The sequence below is a fragment of the Homo sapiens genome, chromosome 11 (genome assembly GCF_000001405.40).
Source record: "Homo sapiens chromosome 11, GRCh38.p14 Primary Assembly".
Taxonomy (NCBI): Eukaryota; Metazoa; Chordata; class Mammalia; order Primates; family Hominidae; genus Homo; species Homo sapiens.
The window spans coordinates 78,277,778-78,295,612 of NC_000011.10; the positions used below are offsets into that span (position 1 = coordinate 78,277,778).

Below are 17,835 nucleotides of genomic sequence, written 5' to 3' on the forward strand. Positions count from 1 at the left end.
CTCCAGATCAAAGGTCAAACAGTGCACTGAAATCTCTCAAGTTGCCCGCTTGGCCCTCTTCCAAGTGTTCTTTACTTCCTTTTGTTCCTGCTCTAACACTTTTTAATAAACTTTCACCCCTCTTCTAAAACATGGCTCAGTGTCTCACTCTGCCTTATGCCCTTTGGCCGAATTCTTTCTTCTGAGGAGGCAAGAATTGAGGTTGCTGCAGACCCAGATAGATTTGCCACTGCTAACAACATTTATGAAAGCTTTGAGACTGGTGTGTTTGTGAAGTTTTTCTTCCCCTGCTTTTTTTTTTTTTTTTTTGAGACAGAGTTTCACTGATGTTGCCCAGGCTAGAGTGCAATGGCATGGTCTTGGCTCACTGCAACCTCTGCCTCCCAGGTTCGAGCGATTCTTCTGCCTCAGCCTCCCAAGTAGCTGGGATTACAGGCGCCCACCACCATGCCTGGTTAATTTTTGTATTTGTAGTAGAGATGGGGTTTCGCCATGTTGGCCAGGCTGGTCTTGAACTCCTGATCTTAGGTGATCCACCTGCCTCGACCTCCCAAAGTGTTGGGCTTACAGGCGTGAGTCACCGTGCCCAGTCTGCTTTTTTTTTTGTTTTTTGTTTGTTTTTTGAGACAGGGTCTCCCTCTGTCACCCAGGCTGGAGTGCAGTGGTGCGATCTTGTCTCTGCAACCTCTGCCTCCTGAGTTCAAGCAATTCTCTCACTTCTGCCTCCTGAGTAGCTGGGAATACAGGTGCACGTCACCACAGCCTAATTTTTGTATTTTTAGTAGAGACGGGTTTTCACCATTATTGGTCAGGATGGTCTCGAACTCCAGGCCTCAGGTGATCTGCCTGCCTCAGCCTCCCAAAGTGCTGGGATTACAGGCGTGAAACACTGTGCCCAGCTCCCTGGCCTTTTAATTCGTTTCTTATTCCCCACCCCCAACATTTTTGTTTTTTTTTTTAGGACACAGGGTCTCGTTCTGTCATCCAGGCTGGAGTGCAGTGGTGTGATCACAGCTCACTGCAACCTTGAATTCCTGGCATCAACCAATCCTCCTACCTAAGCTTCCCTAGTAGCTGGGATTACAGGCATGCTACCATGCCCAGCTAATTTTTATTTTTTATCGAAATAAAAATGTTACAGTGAACCATGATTGTGTCACTGCACTCTAGTCTCGCTATGCTGCCCCAGCTGGGGCCCCTTTCCCTCTACCACTTTTTTTTACTGAATATGCATTGCTCTCCATCAGGAATAAAATAAAGGAAAAAAACAAAAACAACCTCCATGAAACCTATAAATGACAAAGATTTGGGGAAAACAGGAAATTCCACTCAGGAAGCAAGAAGATTATACCAAAGAACTTAATAAATAGGGGCTCATTATCCTTCCCCAAGGAAGATAAAAATCACAGAATTCCTAGGTTAGGATATCTAGTTCAGGAATGACTGGCTACATAATTTGCAGAGCCCAGTGTAAAATGAAAACGCAGAACTTCCTGTTAAAAAAACTATTAAGAACTTCAAGATAGTAATAGTGGAGTGTTAAACGAAGTGCAAGACCTTCTAAGGATGGGGCTCTTTGTGACTCCACAGTTCACATGTCCACGAACCTGGTCTTACATCTAGGGGCTCCCTAACCTGGCTGGTCCTCAGAATCACCTGAGGAACTTTTTTTTAAAGAATGAGACATAATTTACACGCCATAAATTTCAGCATTTTAAAGTGTAAAATACAGTGGTTTTTAGTATACTCATGAAAGTGTACAAATATCATCACTATCTAATTCCAGAACATTTTTACCACTCCAAGAAGAAACCCCATACTCATAAGCAGTCGCTTCTCACACTGTCACTCTCAGTCACCACCAATGTACTTTCTGTCTCTGTGGATTTGCCTGCTCTGAGCCTTCATACAAACGGAATCATAAAAAGATGGTCCTCTCTGTCTTCTTTCACTTAACATGTTTTCAGTACTTCATACCATTTTATGGCTTAGTAATATATATGTATATACCATATTTGATTTATTGATGGATATTTGGGTTGTTTCCACTTTTTGGCTATTATGAATAATACTGCTGTGAACATTCTTGTACAAGTGTTTGTGTAAACATGTTTTGGGAATATGCCTGCGAGTAGAATTCCTGGGTCAATTCTACTGCCCCAGAAAAAACTCTGCTCTTCAACCATCCCAGAGAGTTTGAGATGAGCCTAAACAAATGTTAAGGAGCATTTCTACAATTTAACACTCATTTCAAAAAGGTGAGCTACTCTTTTGTGAAGATTATAAAAACCCAAACATAAATCACTGTTTCCTCCTTTTATCTGTCCCCTCCCAAGTAAACATAAATGAACACTGAATCGTCAATAATCATCACAAAGAACCCGCACAAACAAGGGTCAAGTGTGACTGTGCAGGATGGCCTGAAATGGGCTAGGACAGACAGAGATGAAGGAGAGAAGGGACCAAGGTGAGACCTTCCCTATGGGATGGGTGACAGATAATGGGACACAGAGTGCTGGACAGCACAGGGAAGAGAGAAAACAGGAGGGATGAGGAACGGCAGTGGTGTTGAGGCACCTAAGGAAACACCACAAATACCTTTAGCTTTATCACAACCCCAACACTTTTTTTTGGTTTCCAGTTAGAGCATAATTAGGGCCAGGTGTCCCTCTAATATTTGGCCAACCCCTTCACACTCTTTACCCTTTATCTATGAACGCTCTTCCAACAGGAAACCTTAGCTAGAGCCTGCTCTCAATGCTCCAGGAATCCAAGGGCCTCACCTCAACCCCCTATGAGAAAGATCTGTGTGCGTTCTCATACCTGTGCTCTCCTCAGCCTGATTGAAGCCACAGATCTGGCAGATGCTCTGGACCCACTTATTCATGTCCTCTTCTGTCTCAGCCACCAGGTAAAAGGTGCGTTCACTGGTCTTGATGTCAAACACAAAACTATCCTGCAGCTCCTTCTTGTTAAAGGTCAGGCCTGCATCTACCTGCTCACAGAAGTTCAGGTTGATGATCCGCAGAGGCTTCTTGGAGTGATCGTTCTTGTAGTATTCCAGAACATCTGGGTCACCGCTCATCCGGCCACTCCGCAGGATAAACCAGCGTTTCTTCCAGGCCTAAATCATATCAGGAAGGAGTAAGAAGAGGGGGAAGAAGTCATTAGTTATTTCAAAGCTTTTTTCTTTCAGAGACAGGTCTTGCCCTGTTGCCCAGGCTGGAGTGCAGTGGCACAATCAAAGCTCACTGCAATCTTGAACTCCTGGGCTCAAGCGATCCTCCCACCTCAGCCTCCTGGGTGGCTGGGACTACAGACGCACATCACCACGCCCAGCTAATTAAAACATTTTTTTGTAGAGACAAGGTCTTGCTATGTTGCCTAGGCTGGTCTCAAGAGATCCTCCCAACTCAGCCTCCTAAAGCACTGGGATTATAAGTATGAGCCACTGTGCCTGACCTTAATGCATTTTTTTTTTTTTTGAGATGGAGTTTCACTCTTGTTACCCAGGCTGGAGTGCAATGGCATGATCTTGGCTCACTGCAACCTCCGCCTCCAGGGTTCAAGCGATTCTCCTGCCTCAGCCTCCTGAGTAGCTAGGATTACAGGCATGTGCCACCACGCCTGGCTAATTTTGTGTTTTTAGTAGAGACAGGGTTTCTCCACATTGGTCAGGCGGGTCTCGAACTCCCAACCTCAGGTGATCCACCTGCCTCGGCCTCCCAAAAGTGCTGGGATTACAGGCATGAGCCACCATGCCCAGACGACCTTAAAGCTTTTAATAGGTCCTCAGATATCATAGGTTAAAGACGGGGACTGTGGGACCTGCAGGTGCCACATGACCTGTCCCCTTTTCAGATTTCCCAAGTTTCAAAAATGGAGGATTACTTTGGAATGCATGTTTGTGCAGCATCTCACTATGTAAACAGGGTCTTATCACTATAAAGTAAGATGTGGCATTCCCACTGTCTAGATCAGGAAGTTAGATGATGACACTTTAGAGCAACTATTTCTTTAGGCTAGAATACAGATCCAAACTCACAGCATTTTTAGGCAAGGGAGAACTTGCAAAGCCATAATCAGTTTATCCATGGGGACCCCCACTAAGGCAGGGTGAGTTGAAGTAACAATGTTACACACAGTAAGTAGCAGAAAAACAAGTTTTCTAACTTTTTAGTACAACCTGCTTTTAACCAAAACATGATGCCTTAGAAGAATCACAGAGAAACTGCTCTAAAAACATGTAACCTCAGGATTATATTTCCTGTCTTGTTCATTGATGTTTCCTTAGTCCTTATGATAATGCCTTGTACCTTACTAAGCTTTCAATATGTATTACTGAATGAGTAAACTCCTTATACCATTCCATACCACAGAATTGAACACGTGATTACATATTCTCTCAAGTTGTCTTCCATATTCCATCTCTTCAACAAGACTGAGTAATCTGTAAGCAGACATTGCACAAAGACTACATATAACAGAAATCTGCGTTCAGTCTATGCTTTACCATTGACTGGCTGTGTGAATTTTTTTTTTTTTTTGAGACGGAGTTTCGCTCTGTCACCCAGGCTGGAGTGCAGTGGCATGATCTTGGCTCATTGCAACCTCTGCCTCCTGGGTTCAAGCGGATTTATCCTGCCTCAGCCTACGGAGTAGCTGGGATTACAGATGCCCACCACCACACCCGGCTAATTTTTGTATTTTTAGTAGAGACAGGGCTTCACCATGTTGGCCAGGCTAGTCTCAAACTCCTGACCTCAGGTGATCCACCTGCCTCAGCCTCCCAAAGTGCTGGGATTACAAGTGTGAGCCACTGTGTACGCCCGGCACTGTGTGATTTTTGATTAAGTCATTTACCTCTTTGAATCCTGCCTCATCTATATGAAAATCACTACCACCACCACCATTTTCCCTACCTACCCCATAGGGTTATTATGTGAGCCCAAAGCACTTTGTATACACCCTGAAGCACTACAAATGTCAAGGATTTGATTATCACAATTCTTTAGACCCCATGGGATCTACACTCCATTAATTCTACCATCTTTTCACTCTCACCTTTCATCCCTGTCCTCTTTTCTTTCCTTATCCAACTCTATTTCTGCGATCCATTATCATAATTATTCCCTTGCTTCTTTCTCCATTCCTCTTATTTACCCAGCAAACCCCAGCTAAGTCTAATGCTCTGCCAACTCTACCTGTTCCCACTTGGCTGTACATACATGGAGAAAATCATATGACCATGCTGACTGGTCTCACTTTTACTTCAAGTGGCCCCTCATGTTGCCCAACAATCCTACTATATTTACCTAGTCAATGACTTTCTCCTGTTCTTTGGCAACAATCTCTTGGCCTCTCTCTTTAAACCTCCAATGCCTCCACTCTTTTATATCTTATTTCATGAGAAAACACAAACAATCAAAAGAAAATTTACACATGTTCCATGACTACATTTACCATCCTGCCTGCACCTGTAGCTGTGAGCTCTGTTACTAGGGAGCATAGACAGTCCACCCAATGAAGGCCAACCTTTTTCCATTTGTGCACAAAGACATCACTTCAACAATTCTCCCCTTCTTCAGAATCGTTGCATTTTTCCTCCTGACTAGGATGATTCCCATCAAGACATCAACGTTTCCTATCTCAGAAGAAAAAATTAAAAGTTTGACTTGATCCCACAATTCTTCACCAACTATGGCCCAGTTTTTCTACTTCTCTTTATAGTGATACTTCAAAGAGTATTATATACTACTAATCTTTGTTTCCTCCCCTCCTATTCGAAGGCACTATAATCAGGCTATCCCCCATCCCCCCACCACCCCAACTGCACCACTGAAATAGCTCATCAAAGGTGTCAAAGACTTCAGTGCTGATAAATCAACTCATGGGCCTTAACTTGATCTCTCTTGATCTCTCTCCAACATCTGACAACAGTTTATTATTCCATCCTCTTTGAAACACTTTCTTCACCTGGCTTCAGCATGCACTCTCAACTCTCCTTCTATCTACCGGGCCTCTCTTTTTCAGTCTCCAGTGCTGGCTCCTCTTCACCTCCCTGACATCCGAACATTAGAATGCCCCAATGCTCAGTTCTGAGATTCTTTTTTTTTTTTCTACACCCACTCTCTAGGTCATTTTATTCAGTTTCACAGCTTTAAAAAACCATCGAATTGCTGTGATTCCCAAATTTATATCTCTAGCCCTAGAGTTGTATATCCAACTCCTCACTAGTAGGTATCTCAACATTAATGTGTTCAAAACTGAGGTCCTGATATCTCCCAGATCTGTTCTTCCTGCACTCTCTCCCATCTCATTTACCAGCACCTTCAGCCTTCCAGTTGTCAGACCAAAAATCTATGTATCATAGCTGACTCCTTTCATACTCTACATCTAACCCAAAAGCAAATCCTGTCAGTTCAGACAGTTCAGAATATATCAACAATGAGCTTGCTTCTCCTCACCTCCACTGTTGCTCACCTGGTCTAGTCCACCATTTTGTAGTCTTCCTGCTTCCACCCTTTCATCCTGCAGTCTATCCTCAACCGCAAAGTAAGAAAGCAGGAAGTAAATCAGAAGATGCCACTTCTCCGCTCACCATCTGCAATGGCTGTTCATCTCACTCAGAGTAAAGCCAAAGTCCCCACAATGGCCTACAGGCCTGATGGGACTGAGCCTCATCCCACCCCTCACCTCAGCTCCTGCTGCCCTCTGCCTTGCCTATTCTGCTCTGGCCACGTGGCCTTACACAGTGCCAGGCGTGCTCCTGCCTCACGGTCTTTAGTCTAGTTGTTTCCTGGCCCTGGAACACTCCTCCCCCAGATATTTCCATTGCTTAATCTTTTTTTCTAGTCCTTATTCAAATGTCACATTACTGGACAGGCTATTCCTGGTCCCCGATGCTCCCACTCTCTTTCCCCCCTTACCCTGCTTTACTGGTCTCACAAAGCATGTATACCCCCAAAAGATATCAATTTTTATGACTTTTCCGCACCCACCTCCCAGAAAGTAAACTCCTCCAGGACAAGGATTGGTTCTTTTTATTCCATGATGCATCCTTGGTGTTTAGAATATTGCCTGGCACATAGCTAGTAATCAATATATATATAATTAATGAATCATTTTCTTGCATGAAATCCTTCTATTATCTAGCAGGTCAAAGGAGACATAACTGGTGCCCAATAAGCCTTAGACTGAAATGAAAATTGAGGTATAGCCAGATAGGATGGAGCTGAGAAAAATAAAAATAAGTACTATTTATTTATAGTAATTTAAAATCTTAACCCGGTCACTGCTTTCAGAATTATGCATGTACTTCTGTGTGCTGCAGGTTCACACATAGACACATAGTGTGTGGGCACCAAGGTGCATTTTAAAAAGATCTGTTTCTAGTTCAGCTGGCATTTCAGTTGATGTGTCCCCGTTAGTCTTGTCTCTGTGGAAAGAGCTGTCCCCAAATCTCTGGTATGCAGGTGCAAGCACAAAAAACACAGACACCCTCATGAACAAGAAAACCATGTTTGCTACAGATAATATCAGAGCCTGTCAGGTTTTGCTTCCAAGTAAGTGGTGTAGGCTGATAAATGGCTGCCTACAAAATACTGATATATTTATGACAGAGTCAGCAAGGCTGTCTAGTCTAGTCCCAAATTCACACATCCCTCTTCCACCACAACACCTTCTCTCCACTTCCAGGTTTTATTTATTTATATATATTTTTAGAGTACCCAGGCTGGTGTGCAGTGGCATCATCTCGTTCACTGCAACTTCCACCTCCCAGGTTCAGGCGATTCTCCCGCCTCCGCCTCTCTTCAGTAAATGGGATTACAGGCGTGTGCCACTATGCCCAGCTAATTTTGTATTTTTAGTAGAGACGGGGTTTCACCATGTTGGTCAGGCTGGTATTGAACTCCTAACCTTAATTGATCCACCCACCTCAGCCTCCCAAAGTGCTGGGATTACAGGCGTGAGCCACGGCATGGGGCCCCATGTGTTTTTAAAAAGCCAAACAATTCAGAACCAAGTACAAACAACTCTAAGTGTCTGGCCTCAGTGACAACTTCCCTGATCCATTCATCTGAAGTGGACCTCTATTTCCTCGGAACCTTCATAATGCTTTTTATGTTCTTTTCAAGGCATGTCAGTTTTTACAACAATCATGAGTGTTTTTGTACTTGTCTCTTCCCAACTAGGACATGAACAAAATTCTTTATTGCCAAAGCTTTCTTACCGCTCTCACCTCAATTATGTTTCCTTCCTCCATCGCTCTTTCCCTCCTTTGTTTCCTTACATCCAACAAATATTTATTCAGTGCTTACTATGCTCTAGGTATTATTCTAATGCTGAGGATACAGCATGAATTCCTCGTCTCACAGAATTTACAGGAGCACTAAAAATTACCTATTATTCTCCAAATAGTAAGTCATGTAATTTCATGACTTTATGTCTTTGCACAAGCTATGGCTTCTGCCTAGAAAGGCTTTCACCTTACCTCATCCATCTGGAGAATTTCTATGTTCTCTCAGTGCCAGCACAAATGTCACTTCTCCTGGAAGGCCTTTATTGACTCCCCCAGGTAGAGCTGGAGGTGCTTCTGCTTGTTTTCCCTTACTAACCTGTGCTTACCCCACGCTGGCATTTCTTTCCCCGGGTTTGACATTTCTACTCCCTGCTTTGGCATTTCTAATGCTTATATGTCTTTCTCCCCTTTAAGTTCTGAGCATCCTGAGATTAAGGTCCAATGTGGCCAAAAACTACATGGCAGAGTGCTTAACACATATAGGAGCTCAGGGAAGATCTGTTGATTTTTTTTCATTCCATGAATATGTTAATTTGTTCAAATTAATAAAACTTATACGTAAGCTTTCACAGTAGGAAGTAGAAAAGAAGGACAGCAAGAGGATTACAGAAAAAAGAATAAGATAAAGATGTGTAATAGATTCTCTATGGTGTGAGTTATTTGGCACCTTGTTCCCTTCATTCTGATAAGTGCAGTATCCATGTAATAAATATTTATAAGGGGGGTCTGGGAGCTTCACCTGAAAAGTAACCCATGATACAAAAATGAAAAATTGCTGTTGGATTACTGACACATAATGCAAGGAGAATACGGGACATGAGTCCTGAATATGCTATTAAAGAGAAAGCTTTTTCAGGACTGTTCTAACGTCTATATAAAATCTCATACAAAAATTAACTCAAAATGGATTATGGACTTACACATAAAATACAAATAGAATTCAGCAATCTATAAAAACACATGACCAAATGGAATTTATTCCAAGGAGGTAAGGCTGATTCCATATTTGAAATCCGTCATCTACCATATTAATAGGCTGAAGAAAAACTGCATGATCATATCTTTCAATGCAAAAAATATTTGATAAAATTAAACACTCATTCTTGATAAAAACTCTCAGAAAAACAGGAACAGAGGGGAGCTTCTTCAACTTGAAAAAGAGCAGCAACAAAAGACCACTATCAAATGTTATACTTAGTTTTTTTTGGTTGTTTGCTGAGGCAGGGTCTCACTCTGTCACTCAGGTTGGAATGCAGAGGCATGAACATGGCTCACTGCAGCCTCAACCTCCTGGCTCAAGTGAATCTCCCACCTCAGCCTCCTGAGTGGCTGAGATCACAGGTGCATGCCACTATGCCTGGCTAATTTCTAAATTTTTGTAGAGATGGGGGTCTCACTATTTTTCCCAGGCTGTTCTTAAACTCCTGGGCTCAAGTAATCTTCCTGCCTTGGCCTCCCAAAATGCTGTGATTACAAGTGTGAACCAGCAAACCTGGCCTATACTTAGATTTGAGAGACTGAATCCTCTTTCCTAAGATCAGGAATAAGGCAAGGACATTTGCTCTTATCATTTTTTTTTTTTTTTTTGAGACAGAGTCTTACTCTGTTGCTCAGGGTGGAGTGCAGTGGCACAATCTTGGCTCACTGCAAGCTCCGCTTCCTGGGTTCAAGTGATTCTTGTGCCTCAGCCTCCCAAGTAGCTGGGATTACAGGTGTGCACTGCCACACTGGCTAATTTTTGTATTTTTATTAGAGATGGGGTTTCACCACGTTGGCCAGGCTGGTCTTGAACTCTTGGCCTCAAGTGATCCACCTGCCTTGGCCTCCCAAAGTGCTGGGATTACAGGTGTGAGCCAGCGTGCCCAGCCACTGTTATCACTCTTATTCAACATATTGCTGGAAGTTCTTGTCAAGGTGATAAAGCAAAAAACATATATAAAAGGTATACTGATTGGAAAGGAAGAAAAAAAAATGGTCCCTGTTTGCAGAGGACATGATTATCTATATAGAAAAATCGTGGCTGGGCACAGTGGCTCATGCCTGTAATCCTAGTACTTTAGGAGGCCGAGGCATGTGGATTGCTTGAGGTCAGGAGTTCAAGACCAGCCTGGCCAACATGGTGAAATCCCATCTCTACTAAAATACAAAAATTAGCTAGGCATGGTGGTGGGTACCTGTAATCCAAGCTACTAGGGAGGGTGAGGCAGGAAAATTGCTTGAGCCCAGGAGGTAGAGGTTTCAGTGAGCTGAGATGGTGCCACTGCACTCCAGCCTGGGCAACAGAGTGAGACTCCATCTCAAAGAAAAAAAAAAAAAAAAGAAGAAGAAGAAGAAGAAAGAAAAAGAAAAAACACAAAAAATCTACAACAAAACCCAACAAAACTCTCAGGACGAATAAGTGAGTTCAGCAAGGTCACAGGATACAAGATAATCATACAGAAATCAATTTACTTCTAACTAGCGATGAATATGCAGGCATATAAAATAAAAATACAATGCCATTTATAATTGTTCTTAAAAATTGAAAAGGTATAAATCTAAAAAAATCGCTGTGCAGGGCATGTATGCTAAAAGCTATACAAAGCTAATGAAAGAAATCAAAGGAGACTTAAATAAATGAAGAGACATACCATATTCATGGATTGGACAACTCGACTTGGTGCATCTCCCCAAACTGACGTACAGATTTAACACAATTCCCATCAAAATCCCACAAGAATGTCTGTAGATGTACGTAAGATTGTTCTAAAATGTATATGAAAAGGCAAAGGAAGCACAATAGCTAAAATAATTCTGAAAAATAAAATGGGAAGAATCAGTCTGCCAGATTTTAAGACTTATTATATAGCTACAACAATCAAGACTGTGTAGCACTGGCGAAGAGACAGACACAGAAAAGTGGAATAGATCAATTCTTGGCCGTTTGGCTAAGATCAAGTGAAGAACAATGGATTAGAACAGAAAACCCAGAAACAGACCCTCACAATATGCCCAACTGATTTTTCACAAACGTGTAAAAGCAATTCAATCAAGAAAACAGCTAGTTGTCATGGTTCGTGCCTGTAATCCCAGCACTTTGGGGGGCCAAGGTAGGTGGATCACTTGAGGCCAGGAGTTCGAGATTGGCCTGGCCAACATGGCAAAACCCTGTCTCTACTAAAAATTTTAATATAAAAAAGAAAAGAAAAGGCCTTTTCAAGAAATGGTGCCAAAGCAATCAAGCATCCATAGGGGAGTAAAGACCTTAATCTAAGTCTCACATCTTATACAAAAACTAACTCAGAATGAATCATGGACTTAAACGTAAAATGTAAAACTATAAAACGTTTAGAAAAAAAGGTGAAAATCTTTGGGATCTAAGGTACATTTCATGAGAAATCAACAAGCTCCTTGTATAGAATTCAGTAAAAACAAACACAAAATGTGTTGAATGCTTTGACAGATAAAGAGGCAAGGCCCAAAAATACTCCTTTGAAGTAACTTACAATATTTACAAAGTTTCAGGAAGTTAAGACATTAATATATATCCCTAAAACTAGAAGATTTTTTTGTAAGCACCATAAAAAAAGACATAATACGCTAGTAGACCACTGAAGCAGGGAATCAAACTTTCAGGGTTAAGAGAGAGAAACAGCATGAGAGAAAGCAAACATGCACGAGAGAGAAGGAGCAATGAACACAAACAATGAGGAAGGTAGGGTTTGATATGCGGTTTTGGAAAGGAAGAACAGGACCTTTTTTTTTTTTTTTTTTTTTTTTTTAAATACAACATACAGTATGACCAATGACCAAGGCCTGGGCATGGGAACAGATAAAATAGGTTCAGAGAATATGGCACAGTCTTCTCAATATGGAAAAGAGGGAGGAAAGGAAGAGTTTGGAGGTCCTGAAAAGCCTTGAATGCCACCCTAAGAAGTTTCATCTTTCCTTTATTTGTAACGGGGAGCCATTGAAGAGTATAGATCAGCAGAGAAATGTTAACCAATGCTGTGCTCTCATCTGGCAAAGTGCGGGAGACAAACCAGAAAAATAAAAAATAAGAGACAAGAAAACAATTAAGAAGCTGTTGCGATAGTCTGCAATGGTGAGAGAAGATGGCAATCTAAATTAGGGTAGTAATAACGGAGACAAAAGACAATGAAAGTCACTTTACTTAACAGTGGGGCTTAAAGAAGTATATGGATAGGGTCTACTGTCAAGAAAGTTGGAAAAAAGAATTTGTGTCTAGGATCAAGGGTATGCCACTCCCATCTCTGATGAAATAGAAGTGACTGTTTTCCTTCTGTCAGAAAACAAACCATTTCACAACCATCAAGACCACAAAGTGTGGGTACATATGACCTGGAAGTTGCATCACTCCTAGCTGTTGAACAGACAGTACATGTCACATGAACCTGTCTCTATCCTTTGGGTTAGATCTCAAGGTCTTCAAGCATGTAGAATGAGGCTATAACTTCCTCTTATTGCTCTTGGCGCCCAGAAAACCTAGGTGGGCCACAATTTAGCTGTGCAAGAGTGTTATGCTCCCTTCTGGTGACAATGAAGGCCCGTGAAAGTTTATCACACCAGGATTCTGCAAGATTCTGCCTGGAGTCATGATCATAGTGTTGTTCTAAGATATAAAGGGCCGCCAATATGTGGAAGAGCGATTTGATTTATTTTTAGTTACTCAACATACTCAAGTTGAACAAGTACCAGCAGGAGCAGTCTACGGAAAACCAAATTTTATTTTTTTTAGAACGTAAGAACTTTCTAAATGAGTGGTCCAAAGCAGGTCTCTTGGAAACTGGAGAATACTCAACACTGGAGATTTTGAAGAAAGAGGCAAGGTGAGGGATCAGCAAACTTTGTTAAGGATGTTAGCAAATATTTTGGGTTTTACAGGTCATATTTTCTCTGTCATAACTACTCAGTTCTATAGTGGCATGACAGCAACCATACACAATTCATAAGCAAACAGGCATGGCTGTGTTCCAATAAAACTGCTTAGAAAAAGAAGTGGTGGCAGGATTTGTTTGTTGACTCCTGGCCTAAACAAAGGGTGGGAAGGTTGGGGAGTGTGACAGAAGAAGGGCTCAAAGAGTAGATCAAGGCTGGGCGTGGTGGCTCACGTCTGTAATCCCAGCATTTTGAGAGGCCGAGGCAGGCAGATCACGAGGTCAGGAGATTGAGACCATCCTGGCTAATACGGTGAAACCGTCTCTACTAAAACGACAAAAAAAAAAAAAAAAAAAAAATTAGCCAGGCGTGGTGGCGAGCACCTGTAGTCCCAGCTACTCGGGAGGCTGAGGCAGAAGAATGGCTTGAACCTGGGAGGCAGAGCTTACGGTGAGCGGAGATCGCACCACTGCACTCCAGCCTGGGCAACAGAGCAAGACTCTGTCTCTGTCTCAAAAAAAAAAAAGAGTAGATCAATAGATGGACAAGAGACTACCTAAGGTCTATTCTCCCCTATCTTGAGAGACTTACTTTTTTCTTTTTCTTTTTTTTTTTTTTTTTTTTTTTTTTTTGCGACAGGGTCTCCCTCTGTTGCCCAGACGGGAGTGCAGTGGCGCAAACATGGCTCACTGTAGCCCCGACCTCCTAGGCTCAAGCGATCCTCCTACCTCAGCCTCCCATTTAGCTGTGATCACAGGATGCGCCATCATACCCAGTTAATTTTTTTTTTTAGAGATGGAGTCTCACTATGCTGGCTAGGCTAATGTCAAATTCATAGGCTCAAGTAATTCTCCCACCTCAGCATCCCAAAGTGCTGGAATTACAGATGAGCCACTGTACCCAGCCCCTTATGTATTTTTTAACTAAGAAAACATGATATGGTAACACCTCATTTAATCAGATTACTCAGATTCTTAGAACAGAGGGATGTGTTCTTCTGAATAACCACATCTCCACCTGGGAGCTTCACTAAGAGGTGTGTAGGGGTGTGTGTGTGTGTGTGTGTGTGTGTGAGAGAGAGAGAGTCAGTCTTTGTTATTGGTGAATTTTTAAAAAATAAGGCAAAGAGCTTTTTGAAGATACAACTGTTATGTTCTTCATATACCCGCCTAACAGGTTTAAATTATAGGTATCACCCAGTAACCTCAGTTAGATTCAGATTAACCATAAACCTCACTTCATAGGATTCTCTAGGTTTACTGGCAGTTTTTGGTTTTACCCTCTTCAGAAAGCGGGAAGTTAAAAGGACACGCCTATTCCAGGAGTTTCGCAAAAGCCTCTTCCAAGTAATGTCTTGCCCCTTCTACAACCTTAGCCACAAGGCACGTGAGATTTGGTATCAGAAAAGATGATTTGAGACCTTGAGAAGTCCTTAGTCATCAAAGAAGAGTTCTGTTATCTTTGGTATACCAAAGTCAGGGCAGAAGATAGAAGATTCTGGAGGTTTAGAAATATTTTCAACTGTCAACTCTCAGGTGGTGATGTGGTTGAGTTCTAGCTCAAACAAACACAAAGACACAGGGGAATCTGATCTCACTTCTGAACATATGATGTACAAGTCTATCCTAATATATTTCAACACGAAGCTACTATGCCAGTCTCGTGTCCCATAATAGTTAACAGCAAACATTACAAGAGTACAGTGGGAGTCATGTAACAGTTACACATTTTTGAAGGCACACTTCCTGAGCGAGGAAAGGCTTTTTGCTATCCTTCCTCTAGCAATCCTTCGACTACTCTGGACCATAGAGACTTTATACTCTCTGAGGAAATTTTTAAAAGTGTATTTGCTGAGCTCTTGCTACCTGCCATGTGCTTTCTACTCATTATCACATTTAATCCTTTAACAAATGCTGCAAGGTAAATAGGATCCTCTTAACAGGTGAGGAAAAAGAAGTTCATAGAGATTAAACAACTTACAGAGACCACAGCCCAAGATCTTCTTATTCTGTGGGTCCAGACCCACAAAGAACTTGAGGTGAAGCTACTGCAGATGAATTGCTCACTACACTTTGAGAAACACTGGCCACAGAGTTTATGAATTCAAGTTTATAGTTAATTGGTGATGGCAGATGGCAATAATGCAACTAGAATCTAGGCCTCAGCTCCTAGTCCAAAGTTATTTCCACTCCTCAAATGCAGATCCCCTAGAAGAGAGCAGCATAGTTAACTGTATTTGTTCTGGACTCATTCATCTGAGAAAGGGCAGATAAGTACAGTTTCCCTCGGACTCTAAAGGAACTTATTTGCTCCTCGGGCACAGAATGAATTTTTTCTTACCCCAAGACTATGACATTCTGAGGTCAGGGGCTTTTGTATCTCCAGCATTTATTTAGCACAGGACTTGATACTTCCAAAGCACTATATAACTGTTCAATGAAAGTTATACCAAAGGAACAAAATAATGTTTATTTGCTTCTGTTTTGGGGGAAAAAAACCTCTCAGTCAGATGATCTGTTAATTTAACACAATCTCTATTCCAGGTAAGATGGTACACAGACACCATAAACACAAAAGATCACCTAGAATCCTTTATATAAAGCTGACTCCAACTATAGGCTTCAAGGAGTAGATCATGGTAATCTAGATTAAGCCAATTTGCACCATTTCATCCTACATGCCACTGTGATCAGTTTAGCGACAAGCGTTATGTTCCAAGCCAGCTCAGAGTCATTAAGATTCAACTCCAGGACCTTTGTTTTGTGTTACTCAAACTGGCTGTGTCACTGGACAAAGGGTTGTCACAATATTTCCCTGAAGTTGCAGGAACCACTATTTGTCGCCTAAGAACAGCCAACCGAGAGAGAGCAAGAGAAAAAGAGTACGTGTGAGAGTGAGGGAGAGCGAGAGCATGCAAGCAGGTTAAAAGATGGATATTGATGAAATATGAGTCTTTTTTTATTTTTATTTTTATTATACTTTAAGTTTTAGGGTACATGTGCACAACGTGCAGGTTAGTTACATATGTATACATGTGCCATGTTGGTGTGCTGCACCCAGTAACTCCTCATTTAGCATTAGGTATCTCTCCTAATGCTATCCCCTCCCCGCTCCCTCCACCCCACAACAGGCCCTGGTGTGTGATGTTCCCCTTTTTGTGTCCATGTGTTCTCATTGTTCAATTCCCATCTATGAGTGAGAACATGCGGTGTTTGGTTTTTTGTCCTTGCGATAGTTTGCTGAGAATGATGGTTTCCAGCTTCATCCATGTCCCTACAAAGGACATGAACTCATTTTTTATGGCTGCATAGTATTCCATGGTGTATATGTGCCACATTTTCTTAATCCAGTCTATCGTTGTTGGACATTTGGGTTGGTTCCAAGTCTTTACTATTGTGAATAGTGCTGCAATAAACATACAGGTGCATGTGTCTTTATAGTAGCATGATTTATAATCCTTTGGGTATATACCCAGTAATGGGATTGCTGGGTCAAATGGCATTTCTAGTTCAAGATCCCTGAGGAATCGCCACGCTGACTTCTACAATGGCTGAACTAGTTTACAGTCCCACCAACAGTGTAAAAGTGTTCCCATTTCTCCACATCCTCTCCAGCACCTGTTGTTTCCTGATTTTTTAATGATCGCCATTTGACAAACCTGACAAAAACAAGAAATGGGGAAACGATTCCCTATTTAATAAATGGTGCTGGGGAAACTGGCTAGCCATATGTAGAAAGCTGAAACTGGATCCCTTCCTTACACCTTATACAAAAATTAATTCAAGATGGATTAAAGACTTAAATGTTAGACCTAAAACCATAAAAACCCCAGAAGAAAACCTAGGCAATACCATTCAGGACATAGGCATGGGCAAGGACTTCATGTCTAAAACACCAAAAGCAATGGCAACAAAAGCCAAAATTGACAAATGGGATCTAATTAAACTAAAGAGCTTCTGTACAGCAAAAGAGACTACCATCAGAGTGAACAGGCAACCTACAGAATGGGAGAAAATTTTTGCAATCTACTCATCTGACAAAGGGCTGATATCCAGAATCTACAATGAACTCAAACAAATTTACAAGAAAAAAACAACCCCATCAAAAAGTTGACGAAGAATATGAACAGACATTTCTCAAAAGAAGACATTTATGCAGCCAAAAGACACATGAAAAAATGCTCATCATCACTGGCCATCAGAGAAATGCAAATCAAAACCACCATGAGATACCATCTCACACCAGTTAGAATGGCGAAATGTGAGTCTTAACCTGAGGCTGAGGCCAGATTTAGATTTTCCCCTTAGACTTTCCGGGTCAATAAACTCTTTCCTCATTTAAGGTAACTTAGGTCACTGATCAATACAGGCTGTAACCATATGTCCGAACCAGTTTGCTACCACCGGAGTAACTCAGGGGTCCTTTACAAGAGCCCTGATCATATTCATTATTCAATCCACTTTCTTTTTCCTTCACTTTCAATGTCTTTTCCATTAGCACTTACTCACACCTACACAAACTCTCCCTTCCTCATTCCAATCATTCAATCAACATTTATGAAATCCAGTAATGCCAGGTCCTTCAGGATCTCATGACTTATGGAAAGGGCAGACAAGTACAGTACATAGGTAACTCAGTACATGGTCAGTGCTCTT

General features: G+C 41.8%; 1 protein-coding gene across 5 annotated transcripts in view, besides 1 other annotated feature; it reads right to left on the reverse strand.

Moving 5' to 3' along the window:
• Positions 1-17,835, reverse strand: part of GAB2 (GRB2 associated binding protein 2) — a 202,528-nt gene that overhangs the window by 62,485 nt on the left and 122,208 nt on the right. For 4 of the 5 annotated variants that reach the window (NM_080491.3, XM_024448782.2, NM_012296.4 and 1 more), the window contains exon 2: positions 2,824-3,124. In NM_080491.3, coding sequence (NP_536739.1) covers positions 2,824-3,124 — 301 coding nt within the window. Of the gene's footprint in view, positions 1-2,823; positions 3,125-6,483; positions 6,503-17,835 lie in introns of those variants that run through there. The other variant, XM_047427936.1, reaches the window with a different exon arrangement.
• Positions 12,486-12,780: an enhancer, noted in NCBI's record as "tiled region #2371; HepG2 Activating DNase matched - State 5:Enh, and K562 Activating DNase unmatched - State 5:Enh". NCBI's record gives its function as "activates a minimal TATA promoter and a strong SV40 promoter by Sharpr-MPRA in HepG2 and K562 cells {active_cell/tissue: HepG2 | K562}" and the evidence as "EXISTENCE:reporter gene assay evidence [ECO:0000049][PMID:27701403]".